Source organism: Homo sapiens, chromosome 12 (genome assembly GCF_000001405.40).
Source record: "Homo sapiens chromosome 12, GRCh38.p14 Primary Assembly".
Lineage (NCBI taxonomy): Eukaryota > Metazoa > Chordata > Mammalia > Primates > Hominidae > Homo > Homo sapiens.
The window spans coordinates 149,876-163,484 of NC_000012.12; the positions used below are offsets into that span (position 1 = coordinate 149,876).

Here is a 13,609-nt window from a genome sequence, read left to right on the forward strand (position 1 = left end):
GCTGGAAGCAGACAGGGCGTCTTTGCTTTGCTGAGAAACTTGGGTTTCACACTAGGGATGTGGGGAGCCCTGGGAGAAATGTGAGCAGGGACATGAGCTATGATGCCAAGTTAGCAGCCTAGAAGGATGGCTCTGAAGATGGTTTGGAGGCAGGGAGACTGGTGAGAAGGCTACTGCTGTTAACAGCCATGATGAGAAAGGATGAAGCCCTAAACTGCGGCTGTGGGCATGGGGAGGGGAGAAGTTGGCAGAGCCCAGGGCCGTGGAGAAGCAGCAGGGCCATGGCCCACGTGGGAGGGAGCCAGGCAGCCAGCGCACAGCCAGTGGTCTCCGAGCTGATGAGAATTCAGAATACGCGTGTGCTTCAGGCCCCCTGTGTTGGTACTCCATCTACCAAATAAACACGTACAGATTTTCCATTTCAGAGGCAGGGAGATGCTGGATTCAGGGACATTTCATCTGAAGAATCTATCAAACTAGACATTGTCAAATATTTACTCAAGCAAGTTAGACTGTTAGCTAGCTAGAGCCACTGGAATGGGGGCAGCCACTAGCATGGGGGCAGCCACCTGGACAGTGGTTGTTGAGAGGGGGATAGGGCCCAGTTTCAGGTCAGTGAGGAGGGGCAGCTGCAATGGATGAGGGGCTCCTCCAGAGGAAAGAGTCCACCTGGGGAGGGAGGGTGATGGAAGCCAAGAAGACGGTGTTTCCAGAAGGGAGCAATTAACCATGTCGATGCTGCCAAGGGGCTGGGATGAGGACAGAGATAGGCCGTTGGATTTGGCCACATAGCAACCAGCAATGGCCGTGACAAGAGAAGTGTTAATGGTGCCTGGGGTTGGATGCTTGAGTGGAGCAGGTTGAAGAGTGAATGGAGAAGAGGAAGTGGAGGCAGCAAAGAGGAGAGAAGAGAGGCAGTGTCTAGAGAGCAACGAGGGCTCAAGGCAGGGTTCTGATTTGTAAGATGAAAAAGACAAGCACTTGGGTGCTCCTGAGGATGATTCAGTAGAGGGGAGGCGTGGTAGCTATCTGAAAGAACACCTCAAACTTCGTGTGCCCCAAGATGGAGACTCCGTCTCTCCAGCATGTGTCTGCACCATGATACACTCACACTAGAGAACGGTACCTCCAGGCCCCTGGGTGCTCCTGAGATGATTCAGTAGAGGGGAGGCACGGTAGCTATCTGAAAGAACACCTCAAACTTCGTGTGCCCCAAGATGGAGACTCCGTCTCTCCTCCAGCGTGTGTCTGCACCATGATACACTCACACTAGAGAATGGTACCTCCAGGCCCCTGGGTTCTCCTGAGATGATTCAGTAGAGGGGAGGCACGGTAGCTATCTGAAAGAACACCTCAGACTTCGTGTGCCCCAAGATGGAGACTCCGTCTCTCCTCCAGCGTGTGTCTGCACCATGATACACTCACACTAGAGAACGGTACCTCCAGGCCCCTGGGTGCTCCAGCCAGAGCTCCAGGATGCACCAGTGATGCCTCCCTTTCCTCACTTCCCACATTCCCTGCACCTCGAGTCCCATCTGTTCTTCCTCTAAGATGCAGCTGGATCATTCATTCAGTTTGTTTCCACTGCTCCTGCCTTAGCCCAAGCCCCATTATCTGTAGCTTGGACCTCTGCAGTAGCATCCTAACTGGGCCCCTGCTTCTGTCTTCTTCCCTGCCCCTCTGCCATTCATTTTCTCTCCAACAGCCAGGGAAATCTTCTTAGAACAAACAGGACCCTGTCGCTCCTCTGATCATACCCTCTATTGTGTCCCAGTGCATTCAGGATAAACTCCCAAATCCTTCTCATGACCCACAAAGCTGACAGACTGAGCCCTGGCTGCTGCCCCACAGTCACCATTCTCCCTGTTACTGTCTGCACTGCAACCTTGCGGACCCTGCCTAGGTCCTTGAAGCTCCTCCCTGCCGTGAGCCTTTGCATATGCTTCCTCCCTTAGCCCACCTGACAGCTCTCCCCTCTCTCCTTCCTTTGGCCACCTCCTACTCATCTTTCAGGCCTCAGCTCAAATGCCATGTCCCCAAAGAGTCCTTTCCAGACATACAATATAAAATATATCTCCTTTGTCCTCTCCTGGAACCGTCGTTTCCCTACATAGAACTCATCATGACTATAGGTAAAGAATTATTTTTGACTCTGTGTTCAATGCCTGTCTCTCCCACCAAGACAGAGACTGTGTTGCTGGCCACTTACACCAGGTCCCGAGCACAGCCTTGCACACGGGGCCACTCAGTGCTCGTTGCTGAAAGAGTCAACCAGCCACTGCCACAGGGCACAAAAAGCACCAGAAAGGGGAAGGCAGGAGGTCAGCGATATGGACCCTGCTGTGGGCTCCAGGTGCCCAGGCCAGCTCTGAACCTGCAGGGTGACCACAGAGCCCCCGTGCTGACTGCCCACGCATGCACCAAGAGGCTCTCCTGTGTAACTGTGTCCACGGGCTTCTCCTTGGCCTCTCACAGGTCCCCACCAAGCCATCTGGGTAAGATCACAGCCCCTAGGAAGACATGCATTAGTGCCAGCCACTGAGCAGCAGAGAGCCAGGGAGAGGTGAGGGAGAGGAGGGCACAGGGGACCACCTGCCCCAGGAGATGTCAGCAAGGAATGAGATGTGTGCAGCACGCCTGTAGGGCTGGCTGTCTAGTGTACTTCAGTCTCATATGTAATAAAAACATAATGGTACAATGGTTCATATTGCACAAGCTTGAGAAGATGAGGTCATTGCACACATAGTGAAGCACTTAGAGCCATACTCAGTACAGAGAGCTCAGAGGGAACTCCCCCGACTTGAGTAAGGGACCTCCCTGCCACCCCACACACACACAGGAGTGAAGAGAAGAGAGCCCAGTGGGGCAGGGAGAGGCCTCACAAGATTAGGAAGCTGAAAGCCTGCTCTCCCTAGCTGTGGGAGCATGGGGCCAGCCCTACGTGGCATTAGTTTTGTCTTCTGTAAAATGGGGAGATGATACACCAGAAAAGACCACCCGGGAATGTGTGGTGCTCTTTACCTTAAAGATGACCAATGAGGAGAGATGACTCCAGGCCACCCTGGGTGGAGGCTGCAGCATGGATTTGGTAAACTGCCCACACTCAGCTCCCCAAGAGGATTCCAGGGCAGCAAAGAAGGCTGGAAAGTGGGAATTAGGAGTGCTGGTAGACACTGCAAAATAAGAGAAGCAGCAGGACAGAGAGTGAGAGAAGGGGAGGGAGCAAAAGAGGGCACGGTGCAAGCAGAAGCTTATGCTCAGGGAGTGAACAGAGGAGGCTCATGCTGTAGAGGGCCGAGGCTTATAGGTGCTTCCAGGGGGACACGGACCCTGGAATGAGCAGGGCTTATGGTAGACAGCACAGTCCCACCCCCAGCCACCTTCCCCAGGATGACACAGGCCCCATCAGGAACGCAAACAGTGATCAGTGATTCCCCCTAGAGGAGGGTGGGGATGAAGCCACCAGCCAGCCAGGAGTGCTGCTGCGGGTCGTCTGCCCCCTGCCGTTGGGAGCGTCTGCAGTGCTTCAGAGATGGCCCGTGCCTCCGGGTGCCAGTCCTGAGAGGTCACCTGGTCCAACCCCCAGCTCTCCAGTGAGGAAGTGCCTTCCTCAGGCAGGAGGGTAGAGTGTCCCACCACTCAGCACAGCTTCCTCCCTTCCAGCTAGGGATTTCACAGCCAGAAAATGTCATTTTTTCCCCCAGGGTCTGAGAAACCCAGAATAGCACCTGTTCATGAAACACAGATACCCTGTGGTGGCAAATGCAGTGAGGGGAGGAAGGCAGGACGGCAGGTGCATAGCCAGGGGAAGAACTACATCTGTTTATGCCTCCATCCACCCCTCCCTCACCACCCCCATGCAAAAGCAGCCCCGATAGCCAGGTGGGGACACATGCCCCTAAGGACGGCTGCCTGGTGGCCTGTGAGTTGCTGGACTCACTTTAAAAGCCGCAGTGAGGCCTACCCTTGCACTCAGCTCAGTCTTTGGTTTCACAATTTAGGAACAACCGGGAGATCTTGCAGAGAATGCTGATTCCCAGGACTTGCCCCCAAATATTCTAATTTGCTGGGTCTGGGGTGGGGTCCAGCGAGCTGCATTTTAACAAACCACCTTATGACTCCGCTGTGGGGTCCTGAGAGCACACACTGGAAGATGTTGGATGAGAGGCCCTTCCAGCTCCACAGCCCAAGTGTCCACCCCTGCAGCCCTCCCCGCTTCGAGGCCCACGAGGGGTGTATTCAACTCCCATTCTGTGGGCCGACTTTTCAACCTGGCTGCTTCCCCCATCCCGGTCCTTGGCTCTCAGGCTCTCAGCTCACTACCGGGGCTTTTAGCAGCAGACTTGAGTGAGTGAACGGCTGCTTGTCACCTGAGTGAAGGGCTGGAAACTAGGCCATCGTGCTTGGCTGGGCAGATGCCACCCTCACCAGCTGCTCCCGCTGCCTCTGCGGCAGCCTGCCCCCACAGTGCCCTGGGCCTCCCAGCACCCCCACCATTGCAGGGTGAGACCTGGTCCATAGCCCTGGGGCAGAAGGCACTCAGAGAGAGGCTCTGGGAGGAACGTGGATGTGGGAAGCCGGGTGCCAGGACCTCAGCGTTCAGAAACAGGGAAGGGGTGGGGTGCACGACAGATGGGGGCAAGTCCTGGGGAGCAGCAGGATGGCACTCAGAGGGACCAAGGGCCGTTCTGGGGCCCTGAGGACCCAGGCCTCTTTCTTGGCCTCATAAGAGTCAGCGCCCCTGGGCTGAGAGGGTGGCATCTGGCCGCTCCATGCCGCCCCCACCACAGTCCGCGGTGCACTTCACATCTTCATCTCTACCAGACTTCTTCTGTCTCTTCCTCTTCCCCTCCTGTCCCTTCCTCTCCTCGTGCCTCTCTGTCTTTCCGCCTTCCTCCCTGTCTCTGTTTTTTGCTTGTTCTTTATCTCAGTCTCCGGTCTTGCTCCCTTTTTGCGATCTCTCTCCTGCCTTTTCCTCCTTGCCTGTCCCTCCCTTTCTCTCCTTGCTCTCTGTCGAATTAGACTTTCCTTGTCCTTCGCTGCCCCGCCCCATCTCTCTGGCCCACACGCTCTGACCCCCTTGCTGCGTGACCATGCTGGTTCACCTCCTCCAGGCTCTCTCTGTACTCATCGGACCACAGCCTCTTGGTCACCAGCCCTGGACAGTGTCACTGTGTGGCTCTGTTGTGCCCAGTTGCTGACTCCTGATGGGCTGGGCTACAGGAACACACGGATGTGGCCGCATAGGGCCTTTGGCACTCACGTAGGGCTGCAAAGGGTGCAGGGTGGAGGTGAGGAGGGCCACCGGGAAATCAGAGCAGCCTCTCGCCTGGCTGGCTCTGGAGGCCCCTGTTCCCCAGCCGTCAGCTCAACCTCAAATGCCCTGATCCTGGTGCTGCCGATTCTCATGCTTGGGCAAGATGCTGGCCTCCACCCCAGCCCCACCCTCACCTGCCCACTGTCCCGGCCAGCAAGCCTGAGAGGAGTGGGCTTTGACCAAGCCAAGGACAACTCATAGCCTGAAGATGGCCATGGGCCCTGCCTACGGGAGAGAGGCGAAAAGGAAAGAGGAGGAGAGACTCCCAGCTCCCTCTCGGCGCCCCCTCCCTTTCTAAGAGTCTTCGGTGATGCACTTTTCTCCTTGTTCTCCCCAGAAACCTGTGGGAGGCGGAGTCCATGGACCACCAGGCCCTGACCACCTCCACTGTGGCGTCTCCCCTTGTTTTCTCCTAAAAACTGACGGCAGAGTTGGGGGTCTCCAAGTCTTCTAGGCAGTGGGCACGAATGGAAGCTGAGGTCATGGAGGAAGTGGGTCCACCTCAGAGCTCATGTCACCATCACAGGGCCACTCAGCAGGCGTTTTCTGTGCTCTCGATGTGGTGGGCAGGCAGGCCAGGGGACCATGGGAGCAGAGTGGGACTGCTTGCCGGCAGTGGGCAGTGTCAGGGGCAGTGCAGGGGCTGTGCCATAGCCAGTGGGAGGAGACTAGGGTGAGTGGGTGTAGAGTGGGCAAACGTCAGCTCCAAGAGCCCAATCTAACGCGCTTGGTCTGCGTCTCCCAAAGGGAAAGCAATGCCCAGGGGACATTGGGTCCCCTGCTTTTCCAGGCCTGGACTCCTGCCTTGCTGCACATGGCCCTGGGGACAGGGCACCCCAAAGGAGGGTGAGGCAGGGTGAGGGGACTGGGAGGGTTCGGCCTCAGACCCTGCAGTGCAGAGTCCCCTGGATCGGGCTAGACCAGAGGAAGGCGCCTGCTTAGCTGGGGGGAACTGGCATGTGACCCCACACCCCCACCCACACACACTGAAGCTCGGGATGTTCACAGGCAAACCCCCCAGGGTTGGAGGCAGCATTTCAGAGGTAGCAAGGCCCTTGGGGAGCAGGGACTCCAGCCTCCTCCCTTTTCAGAAGGTCACACAGAGGCCCCAGGAGTGAGTGGGCAAGCCAGAGTCACACCAAGTTCGCAGGAGGGCCCAGACCAGAATCTGACCCTGCGTGTCACGCTGTCCCCTCACGTTAGGCACATTTGTCATTTACTCTTAGGCTGTGCCTCCCATCACAGCCTCCCCTGAGGGCTGGGGCAGCTGGGGGGAGCTGGGGCAGCTGTGGGGAGCTGGGGCAGCTGGGGGGAGCTGGGCTGCAGAAAGCCCCAGGGGCTTGAGGGGCTCTGCTCCTAACTGTTCAGCCTACAGCAGAAGGGATCCAACGGAGGACTCAGCCCCCTCAAGACCTAAATGAGAAAGTGAAATTTAAACCTGGGAGAAACACAGGCTCCTAGCGGGTCTCTGAAAGAACAGAAGAATCAATATGTTTACTGTATTATTTATGCTGAAAGCTTTGCTTGGGGTACTCTGAGGTTAAGAAGGAAGGAACTGGGATTTGGAGTTGGAAGATCCGAGTTCAGCCTCCCTCCACCCCTGTGTCCTGGGCCACCAAAGCCTCTCCTGGCCTCAGGGTTTGGGTTCCGAAAGGGCTACTGTGGCAGGTGGGAGGAGATGGTCCTCTTGGGGCATTAAAGGGCGACCCCCGGGGGTGAGTAGCCTGAGGGGCCCTGCACCTGTCCTGGCTGGGAACAGAGGCCAGCGAGAATGGGTGTTGGAGGGTGCTTAGGGTGCCACCTGACCTCACACCCTCCCTGCCTGCCCTCAGCTGCGTGGTGGACGAGATGGACTTCTCCAGCATGGAGCTGGACGAGGCCCTGCGCAAGTTCCAGGCACACATCCGTGTGCAGGGGGAGGCTCAGAAGGTGGAGCGGCTCATTGAGGCCTTCAGGTAAGGCCGCTTCCCAGCTCCACTCCCCAACAGACCCCAGCGTGGGGAAGCCGGGCCGCTGTGAGCCTGGGAGACAGGAGATGCTATCAGGAGGGTTGGACATTGGGCCAGAAACACCCCTTCTGGTGTGGGCAGGAGGATGGCTGGGGAGAAACAAGGGAAGGGAAGAAAAGGGACCGACCCCTCGAGCTCCCCAGGCTGGAAATGTGGGGCATTTGGGGGTGTGGGGAAAAAGACCAGAGTATGGGACAGACACTGGTCTCCCTGGACCTAAAGCCTTCGGAGAGCTGGGATACCCCCTGGACACCCCCTTCCTTTGTTGGGCCCGGGGGAGGGTGGGCGGGGGCTCAGCGTCCGCTCTGCATCTGACCCCCCCACAGCCAGCGCTACTGCATGTGCAACCCCGAAGTGGTTCAGCAGTTCCACAACCCCGACACCATCTTCATCCTCGCCTTCGCCATCATCCTCCTCAACACCGACATGTACAGCCCCAACATCAAGCCTGACCGGAAGATGATGCTGGAGGACTTCATCCGAAACCTTCGAGGTGAGGAGGTGGGCACTGGGGCAGGAGGGGCAAGGCCACGGCTCAGGCCCCATTCTGTGCACCGTGCATTCTGTGAGTCTGAGCCCCTATCACAGATGGTCACCTGCTGTCTGGGCCTGGTCACCCATAGCAAGCTGGGAACATTCCTTGTGAGCCAGGCGGCTGGGGAGTTTCCGGCATGCAGCCTGCCACCGCCACCGCTCTACCAAACAGCAAGCGCCCTTGGGCAGTGCCTCTTGCCCTCCGTGGAACATGGTTGGCCTCTAGGCCCCTGACACCAGAGCTGGCGGCTCAAGTGGTGCCAGCCCTTCCCCTCCACAACTTACAAGGAAGGAGCCAGGAGCAGGGCCCTGGGTCCATTTAAGTCAGCCTTGCAGATAACTGTATGGCACCAGCTGGCAAGTCCTTCTCTCATCGATGCAGCGCACTGCCTGGCAGGGAGCAAACCAGGACTGGCAGAGTGTGATGTGTGCGCAATTGTTTTTTTTTTTTTACCCGTTAAAAGAATCAAAGTTATACATCCACATAATTTAATAAAGTCAAATAATCCTACAAGGCTTATCATAGAAAAAAATTAGTCGCTGCCCCTCTCACCACTCACCTTCTCCAGAGGCAACCACTTTTGACTTTTTTAGCTATTTGCGTTTCTTCTGTATCGATAAACCGCAGGCTTCTGCTTCGCTTTTTTCTATCTCTTTTTTTAACTGGCATAAAGTCCAGACTGTGAGTGTGTAAGCCTGAAGTTTGATGAATGTGTACGGTCACGTGCACTGTGTCATCACACCTGGATCCTGATCTGGATCATTTTCACCTGCCCAGAATGTTCTCTCCTGTCCCGTCCCAGTCAATGCCTTCGCCCAAGAGTAACAACTATTCTGCCTTTTATCACCATTTGACGAGTCCTGCCAGTCCTTGAACTTCATCTAAATAGAGCTATACAGTATTTATACTTTGGTATCTGGTCTCTTTTATACACTGCTCCTTGTTAATTATTATTTCTGTTGCCCAGGCTGGAGTGCAGTGGTGCAGTCTCAGCTCACTGCAACCTCCACCTCCCAGGTTCAAGTAATTCTTATGGCTCAGCCTCCCAAGTAGCCGGGATTACAGGTGTGCACCACCACACCCAGCTAATTTTTATATTTTTAGAACAGATGAGGTTTCACCATGTTGAACAGACTGGTTTTGAACTCCCAACCTCAGGTGATCCGCCTGCCTCAGCCTCCCAAAGTGCTGGGATTACAGGCATGAGCCACCACGCCTGGCCCTTGTTAATTATTTTTATTTTAAGCATGATCTATTAATTCCCCATTATAGAATGTAAGGATTTAGCCCTCTTTCATCCACCTTCCCTGACCCATCCCACTCACGTCAGTGCTCATGTTATTAGGGCTCTGCACACACACTCCAAAGCTGAGTCTGCAAGTGCAGAATGATTGCAACTCCCTTCATCTATACTTTCCTTGGAGTTAATGCTTCTCTTTCCATTTGCTTAACTCTCTGAGGACCTCCCCTGATTCAGCCCCCACTTCCCACCCTACGTATCAAGCTCCTCTCCATATGTCCAGACCTGGGAGGTGGTGCGGGAGAGTCATCTTCCGGGAGCCTCTGGTCCTGCTCCAGTCTGGACAGTGGCTGGGCCAGGGCACAGCCTGCATCCTGGGCCCTCCTTCCCTTGCTCTCATGACAGATTCCTGGTTCCTGCATGTCAGAGCTTCCTCATTTTTAGTTTACTTTCAGAGAAAAGGCCATTTTTGAGAACTTGCATTTCTGAATGTATCTTTTTCTGTCTTTGCCCTTGGTTGGGAGTTTGGCTGGGGATAGAATTCCAGCCTCAAAACACGCCAATCAGGATTTCAAAGGCATTGCTGCTGCATTGTCCTTTAGCTGCCAGTGCTGCTCTGCCATCCCAGCTGCTGGCCTTTTGTCTGTTACTCTTTCTCTCTCTCTGAAAGCTTGCAGGGTCTTCTGTCTGCCTTCGTGTTCTGGATGTTCACGATGATGCATCTTGCTACAGTTCTTCTTCCATCCATCATGCCCAGGGCTGGACTGGTCCTTTCCATCTAGAAACTCATGTCCTCCGGTCATGGGAAGTTTTCTTAAATGTTGTATTTGATCATTTCTGCCCTCCAATTTCTCTGGACTCTCTTTCTTGAACTCCTGCTATTCTGTTGGTGGATCTCCTAGTCTGATCCTCGTAACTTTTATAGTTTTCTACCTGCCATCTTTGTTTACTTCCTTGACTTTCTGGAAAGTGTCCCTCAGTGCCGTCTTTTGTGTCTCCTACCAAGTTTTTCATTCCTGCTGTCATATTTTTCATTCTCAATAGCTCTCTTTTGTCCTCTCAATGTTCCTCTTTTATAGCATTTTATTCTTGCTTTGTAGATGCAATATCTTCTCCCATCTCGGTGAAGATGTTAATATTGGTTTGTTTGTTTGTTTTTCTCTCTGTTTGCCTCTATTTCTTCTGGAGTCCTTTTTTCTGTTTTTTTTTTCCCCCATATTTCTTTCTCTTTCCTGGTATAGACTTTCCAAATGCAGTTGATGAAATCTGGTTGTTCATTCATATTTAAGAGTGAGCCACCAGAAAGCGGATGAATGACTCTGTGAACACAGGTGGAGGCTGCTGGCTGGTGAGCTTTCTTGTAGGGTGATTTACTTAAGGCATTTCACCGGGAGACCCTACTGCAGTATCTGGAGATATTTTTTTCTTGTTCTGCCTGATACCCAGAAGATAAATGTTCAATCTGTTGCCCAGAATGTATGATTCTGGCTGCCAGAGTTCTGAGATCTTTAAGTGGGAAGTGGAGTTGAGGGTTAATATATAGGTTATCAACTTCATCCCCCAGTATTCAGCAGAGTCCCGGCTTGGCTGGGTGTGGGGTCCCTCATCTCAGAGTTCCAGAGAATGGACCCCCAGTCTTCTGCTGGAGTGAGGAGGGGATAGGGAAGCCCAGCAGCTTTCTAACCCGTTTTCAACCTGTTTTCCAATTCCCAGCCCACCTTCACCTTCGCTTTTAGGGGCTGCTGTTACCACCAGCTCTAAGCCCTTTGGTGGCTGTGTGGTGTTTGAGTGGCTTCTAACCTCTCTGCTGGTCTGGGTTCAGCTTTCTCAGGTTTGCTAAATCCATCCACTTATTTATCCACTTGCCAGGTCCTGGGGTGCCTGTGCCCCTGTTCTCTGTCTTTGTGGGTGTATGCTTTTCTAAAAGATTCCTTTCTCCCGAGTATTCAGAAGCAGCAGAGGCATGCAGCCTGCCACCTTGAACTGGGGGCATCCATACACTCAGCCTTTCTCCTTGGTTTTTCTCACCCGCCGCCTGATTTCTTTCAGCCTCCTTGGCTGCTGCATGGCTCATTTGCCTGACTTCGAGAACCAAGATCAGACGTGGAAGAGACCAGAGCAGGCCGGGAGCTGCGTGTGGAAGGCGGGGTGTCCTTTCAGTAGCTGGGAACACTCCTTTGAGAGATGCTTGCCAAAGTTGTTTTATTTTTAATTTTTCCCTCTTATAAAAGAAGCGTATAGTCATTAAAGAAAGATTTGGAAATAGTAGAAAGAAGATATTTTAATCGCCTGTTTCTCCAAAAGAAACGTGTTTTCTTGTTGGCATATTTCCTGCCAGTGTTTTTTTGTTGCCCGAGTTTTATCATTACTATGAAGCAGGAGGTGGGACAGGGGTGTCCTCGCCTGCATTGCCAGGGGTCTGCCTGCTCCCCCACTGCTCCCAGTGAGGGAGGAATCTCTTCAAAGACTAAGCCCTCAATGCCATGCTCCCTACTGGAGGGGAGAGGAGAGCCCAGCAGGAGGAAGATCCAAAAGAGAACGAAACAGAAGCTCCTTATGATGCTGGAGTGGTGGGGTGGAGCTGGGGGGTGAGACGAACACAAGGAAGACGACAGAACTGCAGAGGCGCACAGGGTTAGCAGGAACATGGAGGCTGTATCTGCCATCAGGAAAGAGGCCTGGGAGGTGGGCGTGAAGACTCTGGTTGGGGAACATCAGGAGGTGAGGCAGGAGATGTGTGTTGGGGCCATATCATTAGTTTTGGTGCCTGGCTAAGGAACTTGTTCTTAATTGAATGGGTATGAGGCACCAGCCATTGAAGGCATGGCAAGAACCAAGGCCACCCCCCGGGAGCTCCAGGCTGGATGGGGGTCTCTTCTGTCTGGCTCCAGGGCTCTGACACCCTCCCTCCCAACCCCACCACCACCCCTGCCCACTCCACGTTGTTAGGTGTGGACGATGGCGCTGACATCCCCAGGGAGCTGGTGGTAGGCATCTATGAGAGGATACAGCAGAAGGAGCTCAAGTCCAATGAGGACCACGTCACGTACGTCACCAAGGTGGAGAAGTCCATTGTGGGCATGAAGACAGTGAGTGTCCACAAGCTACCTATCTCCCGTCTCCTTTCCTTTCTTTCTTCCTGGCATCTCTTCCCATTCTCCTTCTTACCTTTCCAAAACTCTTTTTTCATATTCATTCACATGATAGTTATGAAGTACCTACTGTGTGCCAGACACTGCATCTCTTTTTTTTTTTCTTGCCTGATTTCCTCATTGCCTCTTGCCACCCGATACTGCAGCAGGAGAGACGGAGATGAGATGTCAGGAAGGACTGCCCAGTGGTCTAGGGTGGAAGCATCTGGGTGGCCAGATGAGATTTAGTATCCCTTTCCTAGGACAGCATGACTACCAGGCATTCCTGGATGGTCCTGATGAGTGGAAGGCAGGAAATGGGCTCAATAGGCTCCAGGCTGTGGCATCACCATAGATTTGTCCTATTGGTAGTGACCTGTGTCCCAGGCAGCATGTTCCAAGCCTGCCATGATTTTTAAAGTGGGACTTCTCTGTAGGCTACTACACTTTATACTATAAAGGATGTCATGGGGGTTCCAGTTCCTCCTCCTCATATTCTTGCCTCAGGGGACGGTGTGGGAGAGTTTGGAGATCTCTTCTGAGGCCCTGCACTGGGCTCCCTCCTCCCAGTCTGTGCAGGGACAGGCTTTTCTGCTTTGAGAGCCTTTATTGCTGAGGTCTCAGCATCTGTCGGGTTGCAAGCGACTGGTTTGTCTTACACGCTGGAGTAGATGCCAGGTGTCTCTGTGATCCCTTCGCTCTCGCACACCTGCATCTCTGCAGTATAGAAAGGGTGGAGGTGTCATATCTGCAGGCCGCAGCCTGGGGCAGGGGATGCCCTCAAGGTTACGGAGGGAAGCAGGTTGACAGTGGCTGGACTGGAACAGCCTGCAAGCTCTTCTCAATTTCCTATTCCTGTCCCTCTATCCCCTCATTTACTGTGGCTCAGTGGGCCCCTTCTCTGGCCGTGCTCCCCAAGAAGCATGACAGGGATGAGCCCTGGGACAGGGGGTGAACGTGCGAGGGAAAGAGCCTCAGACGAGGAGAGAGAAGGATGAGAGTCAAGTCCAGGCCCCAGGACAGAACCGGAGCCCCTCCCCTCCCTCTCCACAAAACCGAACCCCTCCCCTCTCCTCCCTCCACAGAACCGGAGCCCTCCCCTCCCCCTCCACAGAACCGGACCCCTCCCCTCCCCTCCCTCCACAGAACCGGACCCCTCCCCTCCCCTCCCTCCACAGAACCGGACCCCTCCCCTCCCCTCCCTCCACAGAACCGGACCCCTCCCCTCTCCTCCCTCCACAGAACCGGACCCCTCCCCTCTCCTCCCTCCACAGAACCGGGCCCCTCCCCTCTCCCGGGCTGTCTCCTCTTCTGGAAAATGGGCGCGTGGGTGGGGAGGCCTCCAGGCCTCTGGTCTCTCCCGCTGAGCGCCCTGCC

At 54.5% G+C, this 13,609-nt stretch overlaps 1 protein-coding gene across 7 annotated transcripts in view, besides 1 other annotated feature; it reads left to right on the forward strand.

Moving 5' to 3' along the window:
* Positions 1 to 13,609, forward strand: part of IQSEC3 (IQ motif and Sec7 domain ArfGEF 3) — a 111,689-nt gene that overhangs the window by 83,109 nt on the left and 14,971 nt on the right. For all 7 annotated transcript variants that reach the window (NM_001170738.2, XM_011520958.3, XM_011520960.2 and 4 more), the window contains 3 exons: positions 7,150 to 7,272; positions 7,653 to 7,819; positions 12,051 to 12,190. In NM_001170738.2, coding sequence (NP_001164209.1) covers positions 7,150 to 7,272; positions 7,653 to 7,819; positions 12,051 to 12,190 — 430 coding nt within the window. The remainder of the gene's footprint in view (positions 1 to 7,149; positions 7,273 to 7,652; positions 7,820 to 12,050; positions 12,191 to 13,609) is intronic.
* Positions 3,161 to 4,075: an enhancer, noted in NCBI's record as "H3K27ac-H3K4me1 hESC enhancer chr12:262202-263116 (GRCh37/hg19 assembly coordinates)". NCBI's record gives its function as "activates a minimal SCP1, AML or CMV promoter by ChIP-STARR-seq in naive H9 embryonic stem cells {active_cell/tissue: H9 hESC(naive)}" and the evidence as "EXISTENCE:reporter gene assay evidence [ECO:0000049][PMID:30033119]".